Source organism: Homo sapiens, chromosome 7 (assembly GCF_000001405.40).
Source record: "Homo sapiens chromosome 7, GRCh38.p14 Primary Assembly".
Taxonomy (NCBI): domain Eukaryota; kingdom Metazoa; phylum Chordata; class Mammalia; order Primates; family Hominidae; genus Homo; species Homo sapiens.
Window position 1 is genome coordinate 71,130,971 of NC_000007.14, and position 24,653 is coordinate 71,155,623.

The 24,653-nt window shown below is 49.7% G+C and overlaps 1 protein-coding gene across 4 annotated transcripts in view; it reads left to right on the forward strand.

The window, feature by feature from the left end:
* The first annotated feature begins 1,173 nt into the window (after positions 1 to 1,173).
* Positions 1,174 to 24,653, forward strand: part of GALNT17 (polypeptide N-acetylgalactosaminyltransferase 17) — a 581,456-nt gene continuing 557,976 nt past the window's right edge. For all 4 annotated transcript variants that reach the window (NM_022479.3, XM_011516467.4, XM_017012521.3 and 1 more), the window contains exon 1: positions 1,174 to 2,070. In NM_022479.3, the coding sequence (NP_071924.1) occupies positions 1,833 to 2,070 (238 nt within the window). In that variant the 5' untranslated portion in view covers positions 1,174 to 1,832. The remainder of the gene's footprint in view (positions 2,071 to 24,653) is intronic.

Here is a 24,653-nt window from a genome sequence, read left to right on the forward strand (position 1 = left end):
TCAGCTCCATTTAGCTTTGCTGCCCGATTTTTATTAGTTGGCGGCCTGATTTCTATTTTAGACCCAAGGAATTAAATGGATCAACCGGGGTGGGGGGGCGTTGAATTCCAGTATTTCGAGTTCCTGGGTTTTGGGAAGAGGAAGAGGTAGTGGAAAACCAGGAGCCAAATGAATATGCTTCTTATAATAAAATTTGAACAGAGCAGCGGGTGGGCCTAGAAGCAGTGACTGGGGAGGTTAGAATTCTTGCACGCAGAGAACCCCCCCAAGCCCGCTCACGCCCGGCCTGGCTCCGAAGGTCTCAGAATCCGAGCCTCCAGGCCAGATTTTCCCTCTAGCCATTCCTGGCCACGCAGCGCGGAGCCGCGAGCACACAGAAAAGGATGTCTTCATCGCCAACCGGGATGGAACGAACCCGCCCGCTCAGGGAGTACTGAGAACTAAAGGGTCCCTCCAGCGCCGGCCGCAGCCAGCATGCCTTGACTGCCTCCATCCCGCGCGGTCCCCACTCTCCAGAAGCCCCCGCCCTGCCCGGGTGCGCGCGCGCACGAGTCGGCGAACCGGGGAGCTGTGCGCTCGGCAGCCTGCGGGCGGCGGCGGCGGCCGCCGACAGCCTCTCGGGGACAGGGTGGCGAAGAGCGGCGGAGGAGGAGCTGGCGCCGCCGCCGCTCCCCTCGGGCCGCGCCCCGCCCTCCGCCGCCACCTGCGCGTCCCCTCCGGGCTCCTCAGCTCCGGGGCTGTGTGGCTCTCGGTGCCGCAGCGGCGGTGTCACCGCGTCCGCCAATTGGGAGACTCGGCGTTTTGGCTCCCGGGGGCGCGGGACGAGCCGCGCGGCCGGATCTGGCGAGCGGAGGGTGATTCGGCACGCGTACCTCCCCGCCGCGCTGCCCGCGACGTTTTGGGAGGGGGTAGAGAACTGCTGTGACTTTTGAGGTCCGACTCCTTCCGGCCAGCCTCGCGACGCGCCAGCTCCGAGACAGGCCGGTGTGCCCTGAAGGCCCCGAAGGCTCTCGGCGCGGTTTGGGGGCTTGGAACGTGTCCGGGAGCCGGCGGCGCTGTGAGCGCTGGTGAGTTTGCCGGCGGGGTGGGGTGGACTCCGCGCGGGGGGCGGAGAGGACGTAGCGCTCGGCCCGGCGCCCGCCCCCTAGTGCTGCCCCCACTTTGAGAGTAATTGAGACTTGAGCGTGACTGCGGAGCCTGGAGGATGCGGGCTCCCCGAGCGGGCTTCCCCTCTGCCCGGCGCGATGGAGCGGGTCGGTGAGCGGAACAAAGGCGCCTGCCCGGGGGAGCGGGTCTTCCGCTGAAGAGCGCGGGTGGCGCGCCGCGACGGCCGCCTGCGGGCCAAGGTGGGAGGCTGTGCGGCCCCAGGCGCGGCGCGCTCCGCCGTGGGCGGGCGGCGATCCCTGAGTCCGGCACCTGTGCGCCGCTCCCTCTGTGCCTCCCGGGCAGCCCCGCCTGCCGGCCTCGGAGTCCGCGGCGCCGGCGGCTAGAGGTCCAGAGGCGAACCACTTGCTGGTGCAGAAGAGAAACCCTCAAATCCCTGGCCTTTCGCGGAGACGCCTGGACGGGGCCGTGCGCCGTGGACTGAGCAGGCGTCTCGGGGAGCACTTCTGCAGAGCGAGGACTTCCATGTGAGCGATTCCGTTCTCCCCACCACCAATCCGACCTCCCAGCCGTCTCCGCCGCCCGAGCATCCTTGAGGTGGGACGAGCAGGGGCTTGGATCCCTGCCGGCCGTCTGGTGTGTGAGGCTTGCACGGCCCCTGGCTGCCCCGCGCCTCGCCGGAGCCCGAGGGGGCGCAGGTCCGGGGCGAGGGCCGGCCGGGCTGTTTGATGGCTTCACTGAGAAGAGTCAAAGTGCTGTTGGTGTTGAACTTGATCGCGGTAGCCGGCTTCGTGCTCTTCCTGGCCAAGTGCCGGCCCATCGCGGTGCGCAGCGGAGACGCCTTCCACGAGATCCGGCCGCGCGCCGAGGTGGCCAACCTCAGCGCGCACAGCGCCAGCCCCATCCAGGATGCGGTCCTGAAGCGCCTGTCGCTGCTGGAGGACATCGTGTACCGGCAGCTGAATGGTAAGGACGCACGCCGGCGCCTCCGGGGCTCGACGCGGGCGGGCCGGGCACAGGGTGAGCCCCAGGGTCCTTGCGCGCTGCGCCCTGTGCCTGGGAGCCGGCACACCCTGGCTCCCGCGCGCTCCTTCTTACCCTTCCTGCCCCGTTTCGGGCAGATGGCCGGGGCTGCTGGAAAGAACAACTTGCCTGATTCTTTTCTGTGCCCCACCTGCAAATTTGGTTTTATCCTGGAAACATGTCAGTACAGTTGGCTCCCGGTCCCCGCGTGCGGACTGGAAATCATTCCCTGGCGACTCCAGCCCGAGCGCAGAAACTAGTGGAGGGGCCACATGGGACTGGAGGCGCGCGGGCAGACGTGTAGGAGGAAATAGTCTTAGAGCCCAGCGTTTGGTGGGGTACCAGTAGGGAACCTGGGAGATTGGAGGGCTTGGATGTCTGCAGACAAAGTCAAGGCCCCAGGTCGCGGAGCTAATGCGCTTAGGTAGTATATGGGAGGAATATGTCATCTGTCTATGAGGCGAGCTGCTCAGCTAAGAATGAGGACTCCTCCCTTCCTGCCGCCTGTGTTTCTCCTTGGGGGCTGCGGAGGGGCGATTGTTAAAGCTCAGGGTGGGCCTGCGAAGTTTCCAGAATGTAGCACAGAGAGATGTGGCATCCCATTAGTGACAGTTGTCTGAATCTGTCCCATCTAAAATGTTGTGCTCAGTACTTCAGGAGAAGAGGGAGACTTTTTATGTGCTCTTGTCACACCTGGGCCAGGTCATTGGACACTAGCTGTCCCCAACGTCAGAGTGAGTGTTACCTACCTGAGTACAGGCAGGTTTCCAGGATGCGTGGGGTTATCCAAGGCAGATACGTACTTAGGTACAGACTACCTCCTCCCTTTCTGAGCTTGTAACTCATGTTCTCAAACGAACTGCAGATAATCACGAAGATCGTGATAATAATAACTGATGGAATTCTTGCTCTGTGCCAGATGCGTGCAAAGACATTACAAGTACATTATCTCACTGTATGTTCACATCTGTCCAGCGAGGCTCCACCCATCCACAGAGGGGAAATGAGAAGACTAAGCGAGGGGAGGTTAACTAAGTTGCCCTGTGTTAAATAAGATATAACTGCGCCCCAAACCTCTGTAATCGGAATAATAATAGAGTCTGGAGTCAGAACCCTGTGTCTGGTTGACCACAGAGCCTGTGCGCTTGACCTCTTAGGCTCAAACTTCTATCCATGGTTTTCCCCTAAGTGAAAGGAGTATTAGGTTTGTTGAAAACAGAAATATGTGGAATTGCAAATACAGACATATACCTTCTCACATTGGAGGATCTCAACTGTCTTCACTGTGGTGGCAAGGGGCAGGGAGAAGGAGGATGGCAAATGGTTCTTTTCAGGCTCACCAAAGGTCCCTGCTGGGTACTGGGGGAGGGATGGGATGGAGGGAGAGGGGTGGTCAGATCTCTGAGCAGGTGAAAGGACGCTGCGGTCTTCTCGAAGCCATTTGACAGATATCCAGGGGATGCCTTGAACTTGCAGGGTATATGGCCTGACTGTCAGGGTAGCCCACGGAAGTTATGCAGAAGCTCTTCTCTCAGGTGTCAGAAATATGGCACAGAATGCGACAAAAACCCATAGTTCATTTCTGGAGGAATCAGAAACTTACGGGGTGGCCTTATAATTTGGGATAGATTCCTGCTGTAGACATACCCATAGGAACTTCAAAGGTTAACCTGGTTTCCCTCATCAGGCTTTTCTCAGGGACACAGGTTAGTTTAGTATCAGTTTCTTTGTTTTATGGTTTTTTTTTTTTTTTTTTTTTTTTTTTTTTTGAGACAGGGTCTTCTCGCTCTGTCCCCCTGGCTGGAGTGCAGTGGTGCAATCATAGCTCACTGAAGCTTCAAACTCCTGGGCTCAAGTCATTCTCTGGCCTTAGCCTCCCAAGTAGCTGGGTCTACAAGTGTGCATCACCATGCCCTTCTAATTTTTTAATTTTTTGTAGACACAGGGTCTTGCTAGGTTGTCCAGGCTGGTCTCGAATTCCTGGCTTCAAGCAATCCTCCTGCCTGGGCCTCCCAAAGTGTTGGGATGACAGGCGTGAGCCACCATGCCTGGCCCCAGTATTAGTTTCAATTAGGAGCATTAAATATTATATAGCTGTACCCTAACTTCCCTCATAGGAATAATAAAATTCTATAATAATAACTGATGGAATTCTTGCTGTGTGCCAGATGTGTGCAGAGACATTACAAGTGCATTATCTCACTGTATGTTCACATCTGTCCAGAGAGGCTCCACCCATCCCCAGTTGAGAAATGAGAAAACTAGGTGAAGGGAGGTTAGGAGGCTACTTTCTACTTGCCACAGACATACATGAACCCACTGAATCTTTACAATGACTTGCGAGATGGGTGCTCTGACACCCGCCTGAACAACTTGCTCACAGTCACCCAGCTAGTGAGTGTCAGAGCTGGGAATCGAACCTGGAATGTCAGGCTCCAGAATGGAGGTTCTTAGCTCCTGCACCAGTGTCTTGATCTTCAGCATGTGCATCAGAATCACTGAAGAGCCCTTTAAGACAGATTTCTGGGCCTCCCGCCCAGGTCTCAGGTGAAGCCTGAGAATTTGCCTCTCTAACAAACTTGGGACAGGGCCCTCGACCCACTGCCCAACAGTCTGCTGCCTACATCAAGCAGAGTAAAGGTAGAAAACCCATCCAACCTCCAAAGCCAGCTCATTTTGGGGACTTAAGCTGAGAGCTTGCTTCAGATCAACTGGCGTCTGGCTTCCTTCTCTGTGGCCTTCTGCCCTGTAAACAGTTCCCGGACTGGTGGAGTCAGGTGCTGTGGGGTGGGAAGGCTGAGTTTTCCTGACTTGCAAGTTGGCAGCAAGGCCAAGTTGAGAGCTTTTCCTGGGCAAGCTAAGAATGCAAGCTGCGACTAGGCAGATGTTACCATCCTGACTGCCTAGTGTCATTTGCAGTGACATGAAGCCTGCAGAAAAAGAGCAGGGAAAAATTGTGAAATATAGGGGGCTCTTCCTCTCTCTCCACCTGGCCCCTCAAGCACCTTCATCCTCTGCCGGTGCTTGTTTTGGGTAATGCGTGTCCCATCTGTTGATGCCCTCCGCCTGCTGCAGTGGGAGGCTGCTCCGAGAAGGCAAAGGGCTCCTAGTGCCTGGGGAGACACGTGCTCTCTTGCTCTGCAGCCGGTCTTCATTCATTGCTCCCGAGGGTGGAGAAGGAAACCTTGACCTTAATGTTCTTTATTCCCTTGGAATTAATGGAGAGGCTGCTAGAGCCAGTGCACTGTGCATGTAAGAGGGCCAAAGCCACTTGGTACAGAGTGGGAGCCAGGCATTTTAAAGGTTGCTCAAGTTTCTTAAATCTTTCCCGTGGACTCCTGTGAAGTCCAAGCAGGTGGGATTTATGGAGGGCTCTACCTCCTCCTGGCTTCCTCTTCTTTTTTTTTGAGATGGAGTCTCGCTGTGTCGCCAGGCTGGAGTGCAGTGGTGCGATCTCCGCTCGCTGCAGTCTCCGCTTCCTGGGTTCAAGTGACTTTCCTGCCTCAGCTCCCGAGTAGCTGGGACTACAGGCACCCGCCACCATGCCCGGCTAATTTTTGTGTTTTTAGTAGAGACGGGTTTTCGCCATGTTGGTCAGGCTGGTGTTGAGTTCCTGACCTCAAGTGATCCTCCTGTTTCGGCCTCCCAAAGTGCTGGGATTACAGGTGTAAGCCACTGTGCCCTGCCTGTAGGCTTCTTTTTTTTTTGAGTCAGAGTCTCACTCTGTCACTCAGGCTGGAGTGCAGTGATGCAATTATAGCTCATTGCAACCTCTACTTCCCCGGCTCAAGTGATCCTCCCACCTCAGCCTCCCTAGTAGCAGGGACTACAAGTACATGCTACCATGCCCAGCTAGTTTTTGTATTTTTTGTAGAGATGGGGTTCTGCCATGTTGCCAGGGCTGGTTTCAAGTGATCCCCACCCCCACCCCCTTTTCACCCCACACCCCACCTCAGGCCTTGGCCTCCCAAAGTGCTGGGATTAGAGGTGTGAGCCACAGCGCCTTGATAGGCCTTTTAAGGGCTGGAATCATATTTTTGACTTTTTTTTTTTTTTTTTTGAGACAGAGTCTTGCTCTGTCACCCAGGCTGGAGCGCAGTGGCGCGATCTCGGCTCACTGCAAGCTCCGCCTCCCGGGTTCACGCCATTCTCCTGCCTCAGCCTCCCGAGTAGCTGGGACTACAGGCGTCCGCCACCACGCCCGGCTAATTTTTTGTATTTTTAGTAGAGACGGGGTTTCACCGTGTTCGCCAGGATGGTCTCGATCTCCTGACCTCGTGATCCACCCGCCTCGGCCTCCCAAGGTGCTGGGATTACAGGCGTGAGCCACCGCGCCCGGCCATTTTGGACTTTTAATACCACCCCCATCCCTCAGCACACCACAGCCCCTTGCACTTAATGGGGCACTTAAGGTTTATTGGTTGATCAAGTTGTTGGGAGCTAGTTTGAGGAGGTAAATGATGGCCAGATAGGAAATAACCTCAAGGCTGTAAAGTCTGGGTTGTGTTGGATGGATGTGGAGAGGGGTGGGGGCTGGGAGGACTCAGCTAGAGAGACAGTGTGAGGAAGCCATCTTGCCTCCGCCATCTTGAGGCTCGTCTAGTCTTCACCTTCCTGACTGAAGGGAACGAGATCCTTCGAGGCCCTCGGAAGTGAGCCAGGTTAGGAATAGGCAAGTTTCAGCGTGTTTTCGTTAAATGTATGATTTCATAACATGAATATGGCTTTATAGTTAAGCCTTGAAACAATGCAGAGATTAGGGATGCCAACACTTGCACAGTCAAAAATCCAAGTATAATTTTTGACTCCCCCAAAACTTAACTGTTAATAGCCTGCTCTTGACCAGAAGGCTTACTGGTAACATAAGCAGTTGATTAACACTTATTTTCTATCTTGTGTGTATTATACACTATATTCTTATAAAAAGTAAGCTAAAGAAAAGGAAATGTTATTAAGAAAATTGTATGGGCTGGGCACATTGGCTCATGCCTGTAATCCCTGTACTATGGGAAGCTGAGGTGAGAAGATCAGTTGAGGCCAGGAATTTTAGACCAACCTGGGCAACACAGCAAGACCTCATCTTTACAAAAATCAGCTGGGCATGGTGGTGCACACCTGTGGTCCCAGCTCTTCAGGAGGCTGAGGTGGGAGGATGTTTTGAGCCTAGGAGTTCGAGGCTACAGTGAGCTATGGTTGTGCCACTGCTCCCCAGCCTTCTGGCTCAAAAGAAAAAAAAATCATGTGGAAGAGAAAATATATTTACTATTAATTGAGTAGAAGTGGATTGTTGTAAAGGTCTTCATCCTGGTCATCTTCACATTGAGTAGGTGAGGAGGAGGAGGAAGGGTTGGTCTTGCTGTCTCAGGGGTGGCAGAGGAAGAAAAAAATCTATGTACAGGTGGACCCACGCAGTTCAGACCCTTGTTGTTCAAGGGGTCAACAGCATATTCTTTTTTTGTATATAAAATTAATTCATCTTTATTGTAGAAAATATGGAAAATCTAAAACAATTATACAGGATACAATACCATGTTAAAAAAATTTAACATGATTGCGTGTAGGCTTTGTACAAGCATTAGGAAAGTGGACCTAGTGGTCGGGCACAGTGGCTCACGCCTGTAATCCCAGCATTTTGGGAGGCCGAGGTGGGTGGATCACTTGGGCCCAGGAGTTCCAGACCAGTCTGGCCAACATGGCGAAACCCTGTCTCTACAAAAAAATACAAAAAGTAGCAGGGCGTGGTGGCTGGTGCCTGTAATCCCAGCTACTCTGGAGGCTGAGTCAGGAGAATCACTTGAACCTGGGAGGCGGAGGTTGCAGTGAGCTGAGATTGCACCACTGCACTCCAGTCTGGGCGACGGAACAAGATTTGGTCTCAAATAAATAAATAAAATAAAAAAGAAAGTGGACCTAGAGACAGACGGATTTCTTGTTAGAATTCTTCTTTATGTGATTTTTGGCTTTCTATCATGTTTCTGTCACTTTCTGAGGAAGTTACTTATTTCTCTCATTTTAGAGGTGAGAAAGGTGAGAAACAGAGATACTATGTGACTTTTCCAGGGTGACACAGCTAGGGAAGGGCAGAGCCAGGTTCAGGAATACCAGGGTACTTCCTCCCAGGAGTCCAGCACTTTCCTAATAAGTAAGGGGAAAGAGATGGAGGGGTCTGGAGCTTCACTTGCCCCTCGCAGGCTCAAAGCCTTAGAGACACCCTCTCCTCTCCTCAGAGTCCACACGCAGGACGCACAGCAGAGCTGTATCCCTGTGAGCCCAGGGCAGCTCTGTCATAAGAAGAAATGCAATCGATTCAACTTAGTTACCAAATTTAGATTTCAGAAGGATAGTGAATAGAAGTGGAGTTGCTTAAAGAAATTGAAAATCTTTGTAGAAATGGAGAGAAGTCAAAATTACCTCTTCCAGTCCTGCCCCCAAGCCACTCAGGCACTTGAAGTTGGAGTCTGAGTGATAGGAAACCAAGACGCTCCTATATAGCCCCAGCACACCACAACCCACCCAACAGAACTCCCTAGGCAAGGAGAGTGATTTGGCACAGAGAGAGGAAGAGATTTGCTCTCACAGGTCTCCAAGGTGGAGTCAGAAAGAGAGGAATGGTGGCCGGGCACGGTGGCTCAAGCCTGTAATCCCAGCACTTTGGGAGGCCGTGGTGGGCAGATCACTTGAGGTCAGGAGTTCCAGACCAGCCTGGCCAACATGGTGAAACCCCGTCTCTACTAAAAATACAAAAATAAGCCAGGCGTGGTGACGGGCATCTGTAATCCCAGCTACTCAAGAGGTTGAGGCAAGATAATTTGCTTGAACCTGGAAGGCAGAGGCTGCAGTGAGCAGAGATCGCGCCCCTGCACTCCAGCCAGGGAGACAGAGCGAGACTCTGTCTTAAAAATAAACAAACAAACACACACCAAAACCAAAAACAAAAAGAGAGGGATGGCATTTGGAAAGCATCTCCGTTCATTAATGCCAGAGGTGGTCTGGTGTTATATTTCTTCTTTCTTGCAGCCCACAGATGCTGGACGGTACCACCATTTCCTGCAGGAAGGAGCGAAGGGAGAGGGCACATGTGCATATTAAAATCAGTTGCTGCAGGGAACATCAGAAGGAAACCAGGGCAGTTCAAGCCTTCATTTGCTGCACGCAGACATTCCACAGGGATTGAGGACAGGCGCGGGCCCTGGGTTATGGAAGGCTTGGTCCTAGGACCAGGGCCAGGGTGCTGGAGGACACCCACTCCCTTTACCTCCAAGGACTCATGGTGTCTGGTTGCAGTTGGCCCCTCCTGAAGAAATAGGGAGTCCTGTTCTTGGACAGCCCTCAGATGCAGGCACATCTGTGTTGGCAGGTGAGTGTGGTGGGCACCCTGCCAGTGGGGGCAGCTGCCACCTGCCCAGCCCAGAGGTAGCAGGAGAGGCAGCCAGTGTCATTCTTGCTGAAGAAACCCAACCCCCCTGACCTTTGCTAGTTGCCAAATCTGGAGCGTCCTTTGTGGAAAGGAAGAAAGCTCGGTAATTACTTAGAGCTAAGAGTGACCACAGGAAGTTGGAACATGAGCACACCCAAGCCCAAGGCCAGCGAAGAAACAACCTACGATTAGATGACCTGCGAGTCTTTAAGAATATATAAGAAGAACCAGGCACAGTGGCTCACGCCTGTAATCCCAGCACTTTGGGAGGCTGAGGTGGAAGGATGGCTTGAGACCAGGAGTTTGAGACTAGCTTGGGCAACATAGCAAGACCTTCTCTCTACAAAAAATAAAAAATTAGCCAGACATTGTGGTGCATGCCCATGGTCCCAGCTACTCGAGAGGCTGAGGTGGGAGGAACGCTTGAGCCTAAGAGTTCGAGGCTTCAGTGAGCCATGATTGCATCACTGCACTCCATCCATCCTGGGTGACAGAGCAAGACCCAAACTCTAAAAAAAAACCCCCAAACCAGTGTATTAAAAGGACACTCAGGGCCAGGCATGGTGACTCAGGGCCAGGCGTGGTGACTCACGCCTGTAATCCCAGCACTTTGGGAGGCCGGGGCAGGTGGATCATGAGATCAGGAGTTCAAGACCAGCCTGGCCAACATGGCGAAACCCCATCTCTACTAAAAATACAAAAAATAGCCAGGCATGGTGGCAAGCGCCTGTAATCCCAGCTACTCGGGGGGCTGAGGCAGGAGAATCACTTGAACCTGAGAGGCGGAGGTTGCAGTGAACCGAGATTGTGCCATTGCACCGTAGCCTGGGAGTCTGGGCGACAGAGCAAGACTGTCTCAAAAAAAAAAAGAAAAGAAAAAAAAAAGACAGACTGGGTTTGATTTCCACTGTCACTTATTACCTCTGTGACCTTGGGCAAGTCCCTTCACTTTTTAAGTGTAAAATGGGACTGTCATATGTCAGGATGACTTGAAATTCAAAATGTATAGCATAAGCATGAAACCCAACACACGGCAGTTGTAAGAATACAAACTACTTATGGGAAGGGCCATGAGTGCTGTTTCCCATCATATTCCCGAGACACTTAGAGCAGCCCTGGGCCATGGTAGGTACTCAGGAGATGTTTCTTTTTCTTTCTTTCTTTCTTTTTTTTTTTTTTTGAAACAGAGTCTCGCTCTGTTACCCAGGCTGGAGTACAGTGGCATGATCTCGGCTCACTGCAAACTCTGCCTCATGGGTTCAAGTGATCCTCCTGCCTCAGCCTGCTTGGTAGCTGGGATTACAGGTATGCGCCACCACGTCTGGCTGTGTGTGTGTGTGTGTGTGTGTGTGTGTGTGTGTGTGTATGTGTGTATTTTTAGTAGAGACAGGGTTTCACCATATTGACCAGCCTGGTCTTGAACTCCTGACCTCAAGTGATCCTCCTGCCTCAGTCTCCCAAAGTGCTGGGATTTCAGGCATGAGCCACCACATTTGGCTGTGTGTGTGTGTGTGTGTGTGTGTGTGTGTGTGTTTAGTAGAGATGGGGTTTCACCATGTTGGCCAGCCCTGTCTTGAACTCCTGACCTCAAGTGATCCTCTTGCCTCAGCCTCCCAGAGTGCTGGGATTATAGGAATGAGCCACTATGCGGGGCCCTCAGGAGATATTTCTTGAATGGATGCATGGACAGCTAGCAATGCTTCATAGTAGAGTATGGTCATTGTTATTTGCTTTGTGAATGTCAGACGAGGTGAGAGGGGGTCCTTTTCCTTATAACTTTCTTGGACTCTTCAGACTACTTTTGGATCCTTCTCTCTTCCATGTGTTTATCTGAGCCAGACTCCATTTCCTTCTTCCTTCTCCTGCCATCCCCTGCTCCTCCTCTTACTTATAATGATGGTGCCTTTGGCTGATGGCTTTTAATGCCTAGGAGAAGAAATGGCAGCCTGTCTGACAAACCCAATTACAGAACACAATGGTCATTCATATCCGTTAGTGAGCACTTCCTTGCCGCGAGGCGTAGACTAGATGCTAAGAGTACAATGAGGTGCAGAGATCATGCTTACTTAGGCATTGTGGAATAGTGGGAAGATATCTTTGTGGCTTTACCAGGGATGTGCCAGGTCCCTAAAGAATATTAGACTGGCTGGGTGCGGTGGCTCACGCCTGTAATCCCAGCACTTTGGGAGGCCTAAGCGGGTGGATCACTTGAGGTCAGGAGTTCAAGACTAGCCTGGCCAACATGGTGAAATTTTTTCTCTACTAAAAATACAAAAATTAGCTGGGCTTGGTGGCACATACCTGTAATCCCAGCTACTTGGGAGGCTGAGGCAGGAGAATCACTTGAACTTGGGAGACGGAGGTTGCCATGGGCCGAGATTGTGCCACTGCATTGTAGCCTGGGCGACAGGGCGAGACTCTTGTCTCAAAAAAAAAAAAAAAAAGGAATGTTACACTGAGCCTGGAAGTAGGGAGGCTTGAACTGGTGCACGGTAGGTGCTTAGCCGGTGAGTGCTGAATTTAAACAAGAACACTTAGAAATTTTCATGCATGCACGATAGGTGCGAGGTAGTGAGATCACCTTGTGGAAGGTGTGAAAGCAAGTCAGAAGAAATGGATGCTCTTGGCCGAGTGCAGTGGCTCACGCCTGTAATCCCAGCACTTTGGGAGGCCGAGGTGGGTGGATCCTTTGAGGTCAGGAGTTCAAGACCAGCCTGGCCAACACAGCGAAACCCTGTCTCTACTAAAAGTACAAAAATTAGCCGGGTGTGGTGGCGGGCACCCGTCATCCCAGTTACTTGGGAGGCTGAGGCAGGAGAATCACTTGAACTCAGGAGGTGGAGGTTGCAGTGAGATGAGATCCCACCACTGCACTCCAGAGCGAGACTGTCTCAAAAAAAAAAAAAAAAAAGAAAGAAAAGAAATGGATGCCCTTGAGAGGTGGTCAGAGCCAGAACTACGAATCTGCGGGATTCCTGGCAAGGGAATGGCATGAGCAGAAGAGTGTGTGGGGACATGTAAGTGAGGAGGTGTGGGAGCTCCTTGGTGAAGGGGAGTTTGTTAGGAGGACTGGGTGGAGGCTGGACTGGGCCAGGTTTTGGATCCTAGGTTGGTTTGGACTTAATTGCATAGGCTTGGGGAGCCATTATGTGACCAGGTCACTATGTTGACTTAATGTGATGTCATGTTGCGGCTTATTGCATCTGGGGATGATTGGGAGAGTGGGTTGGAATGCAGCAGTAGGGCAGGGCACGGTGGCTCACGCCTGTAATCCCAACACTTCGTGAGGCTAAGGTGGGAGGATCACTTGAGCCTGGGAGTTCGAGACCAGCCTGGGCAACATAGTGAGACCCCATCTCTATTTAAAAAAAAAAAAAGAGTGCAGCAGTGGGTATAGAGAGCTGGTGTTGCTGGCGTGGCTGGCCCTGCCATTCCTCTGAGTTCAGGACTCAGCCCACCCTCTGAACCTCAGAGTGATTTTAGTTGCATGTCATTTGCTCCCTCTGTGACTCCACGATCACATCCAGAACTAAGAGTCAACATCTGGAATTGCTGCATTTGGAAAATCTGGTACAGCTTTGGGGATCTCTGACCTGAGCCCTCTCTCAGGCTCCCACTTCTCTTACACCTTGTTGAGGTCCAGCCCCCAACCCTACCACTGTTTCTAGCTCCCTGTGCTCCTGTCCTTCCATATCTGGCCTGGGGAGTCCGTCAGAAATCCCCTTGTCAGCTCCTCGAGTATCCTTACCTCCTCGTCATCTGTGGCATCCACCAGCAACCCCCGAGGGTGGATGAGCTTATTCCTGGGGAACGTCCCACCTTGGCAGGCGTTGGTGCCATAGGATGCAAGCTCAGGTCTTAGCTGGGCCCTCAGCATGTCCAGAACCTGATAATCATCATTATTATTGGCTGTTCACATCCATTAGTGAGCTCTTCCTTGCTGCAAGAGGCAGCTTAGATGCTAAGAGTACAAGAGGTCACACCTATCTAGACATTGTCATCTAATTGGAAGGATACATTTGTAATGTTACCAGGTATACATCAAGTCCCAAAAGTGTTACAGGACCAATAGGTTCATATGCCCACTGCTCAGTAACTGACCAGTTACACCGAGACAGTAGGTTTTGTGGCAGAGAAAGAGTTTAATGATTGCAGGGCACAGAGTGAGGAGATGGGAGGAGACCCTCAAATCCGTCTCCTGAAGGAGTTCTGGGCTGGGGTTTTGTTTTGTTTTTGATGGAGTCTCTCTCTCTTTCACAGGCTGGAGTGCAGTGGCACATTTCATTTCACTGCAACCTCTGCCTCCTGGACTCAAGCAATTCTCCTGCCTCAGCCTCCCAAGTAGCTGGGACTACAGGTGCATGCCACCATGCCAGGCTAATTTTTTGTATTTTTAGTAGAGATGGGGTTTCACCATGTTAGCCAGGATGGTCTTGATCTCCTGACTTCGTGATTTGCCCACCTTGGCCTCCCAAAATGCTGGGAATACAGGTGTGAGCCACTGTGCCCATCTTGGGCTGGGGTTTTTAAGGGGATCATGGAGGACAAGGGGCTGGAGAATTGGGGTCATGGATTGGTCAGCATAAGAGGGATGAAATTGTCAGGATGTGGAAACTGCATTCTTTGGTGAGTCAGCTTCTTGGGTTCTTCAGGCCAGCCGATGTCAGCAGTTTCGCTGGTGTGCAGGACCTGAAAGAGTGTCTCAAAGGGAAAACTGAACGCTTCATGTTTACCTTGTTATCCATGGAGCAGTTAAGGGGAATTATAATCTTGTAATAGGATCGCAGCCTGGCAACAAAGCGAGACTCCATTGCTACAACATAACTAAAAACCTAGCTGGGCATGGTGGTGCACACCTGGAGTCCCAGCTACTCAGGAGGCTGAGGTGGGAGGATCTCTTTTGAGCCCGGGAGTTTGAGACTACAGTGAGCTATGATTGTGCCACTGCTTTCCAGCCTGGGTGACAGAGTGAGACCCTGTTTCTAAAATTTATAATCATCACAATAAATAGATAAAAAATAGGGTCTACATGATTCTAGGACAATTGGTAGCAAACAACCATGAGCAAGCAGGTCAGAGAACAAGCTGACCTAGTGATGAACGCAGAATGTGCTGCAAGCTTGGTTTATTTTCATTTCTCCCCTCTCTTCTTCCCTGATTAATTTTATAAAGTTCATACGGGTTTCTTAATTTTTTTATTTTTATTTTTTGAGAAGGAGTCTCACTCGTTGCCCAGGCCGGAGTGCAGTGGCACAATCTCGGCTCACTATAACCTTCACCTCCTGGGTTCAAATGATTCTCCTGCCTCAGCCTGCTGAGTAGCTGGGATTACAGGCGGCCGCCACCACACCCCGCTAATTTTTGTATTTTTAGTAGACACTGGTTTTCACCATCTTGGCCAGGGTGGTCTCAAACTCCTGACCTCAAGTGCTCCGTCAGTCTTGGCCTCCCAAAGTGCTGGGATTACAGGCGCGAGCCACCGTACGGGGCCCGTATGGGTTTTTTTTTAAAGGAATATTTCTATCCCTTTCCATTTTCTATACCTCCCTGAGCCAAAGAGGAGGTGGGCTGTGCTGGGCTGGAGGGATCCTTCGGGAGGCGGTGGAGACGGGTGGATGGAGTGGCCTGACTCCAGATTCAGTCTCCTCTCAGCTCCCCACGCCCTGAGTGACTGCTGATCTCAAATGACACAGAGATTTGTTCCTCCCCGGGTGCCACCACCGCAGCCCACTTCTTACTGGGATTGTCACAGCTGTGACTGCTGCAACAACTGAGTCCGCTGGGATATGCTGAGGCCAGTGCCAGTCTCGGGTCCTCTCACTCCTTCTGGATTCAGAGATCATGTTGCAGGGGCAAGACCTGACTTCCTAGCAGCTCCTTAAGGGACAAGAGATGGAATCCAGAATTACAGGGAAGCCAACTCTCCATGGGTGGCTTTTGGCCTGAAGGATGAAGGGGGAGGGGACCACAAAGAAGCAGATAAATTATCTCCCGCTTAGCAGTGCAGTCTGGAGATATGGTGCCCATGTGGCCCCTGGGAAGAAGTCCAGGGAGAGGGAGTGCTCACTGCCTTCCCTCCCTTCTCCCTCCCTCCCTCGCCGCCATCCTCCCTTCCACAGCACTTAGAATAAATGCAGGACTCACAGGGGCTGAAAGATCTTCCTCTCCCCTAGTGATTGCTGCTCACCGGTCTTTAGACTGCTCTGACATGTGGATGACAATCGGCTGAGCCACTGATAGAGAAGTTTTCCCTTTTAATCATGTCCCTGTCATTGCTAACTGCAGAGTCTCAGCTTTGCCATGCATGAGTAATAAACTGCTGCCGTAATCACAGGCGACCACGTTCAGACACCAACACACGAGCGTGCTGACAGTTAATGGGGAACAGGGTTCCAGAAGGACTTCTTCCATCCTAGCCTCGGACACAAGGGAGGCTAATTGTGTGATTAGTGTTTACTGAGGAATGTCCTGTAGTTACATACAGCTTGTTAGGTGCTGTACTTCCCTGGTGAAAGAGCATGAATTTGGGTTCAGGAGACCAGGGTTCTAGGTTTACTTTATTTCTAGGGACCAAAGTTTATGCATGTGTAAAATGAGACCGGTATGATTGTAGGGTCCTTTAACTCTCAGATTATGAATAACATCTCTTTCCCTCATTGTATTTAGTCAGGGTTCTTTAGAGGGACAGATATATATGAGTTTGTTAAGTATTAACTTACACAATCACAAGGTCCCACAGTAGGCTTTTCTGCAAGTTTCAGGAGCAAGGAGAGCCTGTCCAAGTCCCCAAACTGAAGAACTTGGAGTCCGATGTTTGAGGGCAGGAAGCATCCAGCACGGGAGAAAGAAGTAGGCTGGGAAGCTAGGCCAGTCTAACTTTTCATGTTTTTCTGCCTGCTTTATATTCAGCTGGCAGCTGATTAGATGGTGCCCATCCAAATTAAGGGTGGATCTGCCTTCCCCAGCCCACTGACTCGAATGTTAATCTCTTTTGACAACACCCTCACAGACACACCCAGGATTAATATTTTGCATCCTTCAATCCAATCAGATTGACACTCAGTATTAACCATCACATTCATCCTATTAAAATCTCATGCATTCTCCAAGGACCATTTCTTTTTTCTTTTTTTTTTAGACGGAGTCTCACTCTGTCGTCCAGGCTGGAGTGCAGTGGCATGATCTCAGCTCACCACAACCTCCACCTCCCAGGTTCCATCGATTCTCCTGCCTCAGCCTCCCGGGTAGCTGGGACTACAAGAGTGCACCACCACACCCGGCTAATTTTTTGTATTTTTAGTAGAGATGAGGTTTCACTATGTTGGCCAGGCTGGTCTCAAACTCCTGACTTCATGATCCACTGCCTTGGCCTCCCAAAGTGCTGAGATTACATGCATGAGCCACTGCACCAGGCCTCTCCAAGGACCATTTCAAAAGCCCTTCATTCTCTGTAACCTCCCCTGACCACCTTGTCAGAATTAAATGTCCTTTCTTCTCACCTCTTATGGTACTTTCAGTGGATCTTCTTTTAGCCCTTGTTCATCTCTGTCTTTCCTCAAAATGATTTGTTGTCATGGCCAGCCCAGTAGTTTCCAAGAGAATGGGTTTCATTCATTTTTTAAAAACCCCTCTCTGTGTCATTTAGGAATTAATTTGTCAGCAAGTAATTTGTTCTCACTTCACAAGTCCAGAAGTAGTGGTAGCTAGCACTGTTTTGGCATCATAGTGTCATAGCTCATGTCACTATATTTCTTTTGGTCTTTTCCTCATGATTACAAGATGGCTGCCACAGTTCCAGCCATTGCATCTTTGTACCAGGTAGGGATTCCTGTAGCAGTGGCCACATCTGCTCTTATTGTTTACTCAGGAAAGAAAATGTTTTCCAGAAGTCTACCTGGTAGGCTCCTACATGTGAGCCAGGACATAGTCTGATGACCAACTTTGCTTCAAGAGAATAGTTGCTTTCCAGAGAAAATAAGTACAGTGGTAGCAAAAGAGAAGGAGAACGGGAACAGCATTTGCATTGTGAATCCGCAGTGTCTACCATGCCCTCTCTACCCCTAATACATTCCATTGAATATTAAAATTTAGCAAGATTCTTGGCCAACTAGAAATTCAATTAACTAGAATACTGAAGGCTGTGGGCATTCAAACATACATACATAATTGTATTTTGTCTGTTAAGACATTTTTACATCTCTGAAATTGGGAGTTATCTTATGATCAGTGACATGTCATCATTTAATTGGTAGCGTACTTTTTCCCCCTCAGGGTACATAAAAATGGAGTATCTTATAGTTGAAGGCATCTTAGATTTGATGAAATACAGTAGTATTATGGTATTTTTATATATATATATATATATATATATATATATATGTATACCATAGTTAACCATACACAACTATTTGATTTTGTTGTTTTGTTGTTGTTTTGAGACACAGTCTTGCTCTGTCGCCTAGGCTGGAGTGCAGTGGCACCATCATAGCTCACTGCAGCCTCGAACTCCTGGGCTCAAGCCTCCCAAGTGGCTGGAACTCCAGGTACGTGCCAACATGCCCTGCTAATTTTATAAACTATCTTTTTCTGGAGACGGAGTCTTGCTGTGTTGCCCGGGACGCTCTCAAACTCAGAGCTCAAGCAGTCCTCCTGCCTCAGCCTCCTGAGTAGCTGGGACAACAAGCATGCACCACCACGCCTGGCTAATACACAGCTATTTCTATTGAACATCAACCACATATCAAGTATTTTGTGTTAACTTAATTCGACATCACACCTATTTATACTATTATATCTGTTTTACATGTGAGGAAGATGAAACTAAGGGAAATAAACAAATTGTCCAGAGGCACCTACCAGCTGCTCCATTCTGAGTCTCCTTTGCGAAGTTGGTACTCACTGCCTCCTGGGTGTGGGATTGAGTCTTGCTCGGTTGGTGGCTGGGTCCAGGACTGTAGGGGGGGCGAAACGTGTGCTGGGGTGAGCACAAGGATGCTGTCAACTAGGATCAGGATGGTTGCAGGGAACCCTCCTTCACCCAGGTTAGTAGTCACTCGTGTGAAAAGTTGTAAAGCTGTTAATTCCAGGACTCTAAATTATGCTGTGCGAGCTGTAAATCCAGCCCATAATTAGAACAAAATGTGAGAAAAGTGAAATTGATATTAAGTTAATTAAAAGGCTTTGCTTATATTTGCAAGGAAATTAGCACAACAAAACAGGAATGCTGACAAGTGCACGTTGTCAATTTCTTCTTCATTTGGGCGACTGTCAGCAAGCCTCAGGCAAGTTTTGTTCCTTGACTTCTGCCCCGTGTCCTTCCTATGATTGCACATCCATTGTGTTTGTATCATGGTGGCTTTAATTGGGCAAGATCTAGTGTAATCTTGGGACAGTCATTTTTGAATGGATGCTAAGCCTTGCATGGGAGCTTCACCTTCCAGCTGAGGTCCCAGGCCCTGAAAGTGTGTCGGGGGCTGGAGGAGGGGCCCTCAGAGGTTGTGTGTCATTGCTTAGGCACACGCTTCTCGGAAGCTGATACAAATGGCTGATGCAGTTCTCTTGCGTCGAGAAGGTAACTCCTTTGATTCCAGGGCACCCTTCTCATTCCTGTTCACCATCCTGATCTGTGCCACAGACCTAGGTTTGAGTGTGCAGTGTAGAATTTTAGTTTGGAGTTCCTGGAAGGGAAAGAACATGTTTTTTTCTTATGGTACCTATTATACTAGGGTCTGGATGAGACAGGTCAATATCAAGCGGCATAGAACTACCGTGGTCTCTAGTTAGGGTGGCAGAGGCAATGCTGTGTTCACCAGGGAATTTTTTTTTTCCTCTTGGGCACAGAGCTAATCTTCAGGCTCCCCTGCAGTTAGATAGGGCCATGTGATTGAGTTCAGGGCAATGAGAGGTAGACGGAAGTGATGTTTGCTATGACCAGGCTTGGCCCACCAAAACTCCTACGGGGTCCTTCATGCCTTCTCTCTCTTTTTTTTCGTTTTCTTTTTCTTTTTTTTTTTTTTGAGATGGAGTCTTGCTGTGTCCCAGGCTGGAGTGCAGTGGTGCGACCTCGGCTCACTGCAAGCTCCGCCTCCCAGGTGCATGCCATTCTCCTGCCTCAGCCTCCCGAGCAGCTGGGACTACAGGTGCCTGCCACCATGCCCGGCTAATTTTTTGTATTTTTAGTAGAGACGGGGTTTCACCATGTTAGCCAGGATGGTCTCGATCTCCTGACCTCGTGATCCGCCCACCTCGGCCTCCCAAAGTGCTGGGATTACAGCCTTCTCTCTTTACCTTTCAATGATGGCCTTGGAGTTCACCTCTTGGTGGCATATAAGATGGTAGGATCCTAGCCAGGCCCGGTAGTGTGTGCCTGTAGTCCCAGCTACGTGGGAGGTTGAAGTGGGAGCAGTGTGCCATGATCACACCACTGCACTCCAGCCTGGGGAACACAGTGAGACCCTGACTTCAAAAAAAAAAAAAAAAAAAAGAAGCATCCTGGTCCCTGAGTGACTAAGTGGAGCAGAGTACTGTGCTGTCCAGCCATCTCCTGCTATCTCCTGTGTGGGACCATTGTGTTCAGCCATTGAGATTTTGGAGCTTATCTGTTATAGCAGCTAGTGTTATTTATGGACTAATTCAGTTAGGTAACTACCTAAGTGACAGGCCAGGCTGTCTACTCTCCTTTTCTGCCCTTGATTCATGTGATCAGCAAATATTGATTGATCTTAAACAATAAGTGGGGGGATGGTGAGATGGTTGGATTGGATGCCACCTATTTCTAGGTCAGCTTCTGTGCTTGACCTGCTATTGGATTTAAGAAAATAGCCTTGGCTGGGCGTGGTGGCTCACGCCTGTAGTCCCAGCACTTTGGGAGGCCGAGGCGGGCAGATCACGAGGTCAGGAGATCGAGACCATCCTGGCTAACATGGTGAAACCCTGTCTCTACTAAAAATACAAAAAATTAGTCAGGCGTGGTGGCAGGTGCCTGTAGTCCCAGCTACTCGGGAGGCTGAGGCAGGAGAATGGCGTGAACCCAGGAGGCAGAGCTTGCAGTGAGCCGAGATCGCGCCACTCACTCCAGCCTGGGCGACACAGCAAGACTCCATCTCAAAAAAAAGAAAAGAAAAAAAAAAAAAAGAAAATAGCCTTGTTTCTCAGTGTTACTAGTACTCTATTTACAGGATGATGGAATGATTATAATCATCCCCTACTTAACGCTGCTTCTTGGAGCTGAGGGATAAGTATTGAAATATGGCTAAGTTGTTTGTAATTATAAACAACTAAATAATATATGCATTGTCTTTGTTACAGTTTCTGCTGAAAGGAACTGGCATTTTTCAAGATGAGACAAACTGAAAAGGTTAGTTTAAGCATTAGCAATTAAAAAAATCATGATTTTTGCTGCCACCGAATTTTAAATCATGCAAACATTTATATTTGTGCCAAAGTTCCACAATTTCCTTTAGAGCAATTACTGAAATGCATTCACAAGATAAAAATGGAGTTCGGGGAAGAATATTTAAGAGCTCTTTAATGATGTTAAAAACTTTGCTAATTTGCCGTGTCGTTCTAAAATCCACTTTAATTTTTTTTTTCTGCGTGCCTACCCGTCTTCCTGCAATTGAACTGATTCCAGGAGACTTGAATAAAGGGGATAAAATGACTAATAAAATACACAAATCTCACGAAATATCTTTTCAAGAGCTTTTTCTTTTTTTTCATTAGCTGTAGGTGAACACTCGGGAAGATAAAAGCATCCTTGGGCTGCGTTTACTTGCAGAAAGCAGTTTGGAAGGAAAACAAAAGCCAAAAAGTAGTTACAAATGGGTGGCTTGAATTAAACGCTTTTTCTTTTACAGTAAAAGAAAGGGTCTTGTATATGCAGACCCAAGGGGCGGAGTAGACTGGTCTAATGTCTTCATCCTCATCCTCTTTACAAGATCTCAGCTTAGCAAAACTGCAGTTAGTCACTGATCTGTAGTCCCTCTCCCCTAGTTAGCATCATTGCTTGGTGCTCCAGCCCTTTCTTCAGGGCCTTCTGAAAATCCGCAGCCCCGGGGGATCCTGATCCACTTTTCTTCTTCCCCATGAGATAGGCTCTAATGTTAATGGTTCACATTTTCTTTCTTTTTTTTTTCTGAGATAGAGTTTCGCTCTTGTTGCCCAGGCTGGGGTGCAGTGGTGCAATCTCTGCTCAGGGCAACCTCTGCCTCCCAGGTTCAAGTGATTCTCCTGCCTCAGCCTCCTGAGTAGCTAGGATTACAGGTGCCTGCCACCATGCCCAGCTAATTTTTGTATTTTTAGTAGAGACGGGGTCTCACCATGTTGGTCAGGCTGGTCTCGAACTCCTGACCTCAGGTGATCCACCTGCCTCAGCCTCCCAAAGTGCTAGGATTACAGGTGTGAGCCACGCCCCAGTTCACGTTTTCATTAGAGAGTAAGTTCACAGGTATTTCTCAGGGATAATTCTGTTGGAAAGCTAACCTTCCATAGAGAAAGTTTGACAGCATTGACTTCCAGACGAGCCAGAGATACAGCCCTGGCCCTGCCAGCAACCTTCCTAGTCAGCTGATCTCCAGGGGTTTCAGACAATGGACGAAGCAAGGGCTTTGGAGTTAGACAGAAGGAATCTCAAACTTCCTTTGGCTACTTTACAAAGCCAAGCCAAAGCTGGGGCTTTGGAAAAAATCACCTAACATCAATGAGCCTCAGTTTACTCATCTGGAAAACAGTAGCTACTCCTATAAATATGATAAGGACGGTGTAAGGTGATATTTGTAGCATACCTGGAAGAACGCCTGTAATAGGAGAATGTTGATGAATGATGTTATTGACATCGCCGTGGTGGCAGTTACTACCAATACTGCTCTTTGGAACAAGACATTTGGCCTTTCCGGGCCTCAGTTTTCTGCCCTGTAAAATCTAGACAAGATAGGAAGGGTGTTCAGGTTCTGTAATTTTATGGATCAGAAAGGTAGAGTCGATGATGGAAAGTCTGTTTTCATGTAAACAGTGGCTGGTGAGGACTGGTCAGAGTTGCATTTTGGGAAGCCATGAAAAATTCAATCTAGAGGAATAGGAAACAATTGTCCTAGGTGTGGTGGTTTAAAAATGTATCTACAGGCCAGGAGTCGTAATCCCTGGCACGGTAATTCCAGCACTGTGGGAGGCCGAGGCCGGTGGATCATTTGAGGTCAGGAGTTTGAGACCAGCCTGGCCAACATGGTGAAACCCAGTCTCTACTAAAAATACAAAAATTAGCCAGTCGTGGTGGCGGGCGCCTGTAGTCCCAGCTACTCAGGAGGCTGAGGCAGGAGAACCCAGGAGGCGGAACTTGCAGTAAACCAAGATGGTGCCACTGCATTCCAGCCTGGGTGACAAAGGGAGACTCTGTCTCAAAAAATAATAGTAATAAAATAAAATAAAAATAAAAAATAAAAAAATAAAAATGTATCTGCAAATTTGACACTTTCCCCATCAAACGGTAGAGTTTAATTCCCCTCTTGTTGATGATGCGCTGGCCTCCGTGACTTGCTTCTAGTGATCGAATTCAGTGGAAATAATGTTCCATGACTTCAGAGGCTGGATCAAAAAGGGTGAGGGAGCCTCTGCCTGAGGGTGCTCTTCAGGGACATGGATCTTTGAAGCCGTGTGCCACCATACCGGCTTCGCTGAAGCCCCCATACTGGAGGGACCATGTGGAGAGAGAGAGAGAAAGAGAGAGAGATGCCCAGGGACCCCTGGCTGTTCCGGCTTCCAGCTGTTTGTGTCTGTTCAGCGCAGGAGCCAGACACATGAGTGAGCAAGCCTCACTCCATCTTTCCAGCCTCCCCAGCTGATACCAAGTTGGGCAGAGACGGGCTGTTCCCACCCCAAGCCTCGCTCAAATCGCAGATCCATGAGGAAAATAAGTACAGTCATTGTTTTAAGCCACTTTTTGGGTGGTTTGTTGTACAGCAATAACCAGTTGGAACATGAGGTCAGTATCCTTGTGCTTGATAAGCTGTTTTTGATGATGATAGTCATGCTAACCGTAATAAATGTAACAATAGCCAACATTTATTTATTTATTTATGTATTTTTGGAGACGGAGTCTCACTCTGTCGCCCAGGCTGGAGTGCGGTGGCACGATCTCGGCTCACTGCAAGCTCCGCCTCCCTGGTTCACGCCATTCTCCTGCCTCAGCCTCCTGAGTAGCTGGGACTACAGGCGCCCGCCACCATGCCCGGCTAATTTTTTGTATTTTTAGTAGAGATGGGGTTTCACTGTCTTAGCCAGGATGGTCTCAATCTCCTGACCTCATGATCCACCCGCCTTGGCCTCCCAAAGTGCTGGGATTACAGGCGTGAGCCACCGCGCCCGGCCACAATAGCTAACATTTATTAAGCTCTTTCTTAAAGTATCCAGCACCGTAATGAAGATTTTATATATAAAAGTGGGTAATGAATTTTTTCGGGAAAGTCTTGGATTTATATGCCATGGGTAGACTGTGATAACAGCCTGACTATTGCAGTGGGGGTTAGGTTGGCTAAGAATTTCAGTTGTCTTTCATTCAAGTTTCTGACAGTTGTCCTAAACCACCGAGCGTTGAGTTTATTTGGAAATGCAAGAGTGGCTGTTGTGTAATGGCTCCCTCCCCGTGGACGACGGTTATCTGACATTGCTCATCATACCCAGTCTCTGAACCCTAGCACCACAGTTCCTTATATTGTGCTGTTCCAGGTCTTTTAGCAGCAGAGACAAGAACACATTTAATAGAGCCTGTTCTTATTTTTCTTTTGGAGACAGGGTCTCACTCCGTTGCCCAGGCTGGAGTGCAGTGGCATGATCTCGGCTCACTGCACCCCCAACCTCCCGGGCTCAAGCAATTCTTGTGCCTTAGCCGCCACAGTAGCTGGGACCACGGATGTGCACCACCATGCCTGGCTAATTTTTGTATTTTTATTAGAGAGAGGGTTTCGCCATGTTGCCCGGGCTGGTCTCCAACTCCTGGGCTCAAGCAGTTAGCCCGCCTCAGCCTCCCAAAGTGCTGGATTACAGGTGTGAGCCACTGCGCCCAGCTTCTTCTTTTTTTAAAATTCTTTTTTCTTCTATTTATTTATTTTTTTCCTTT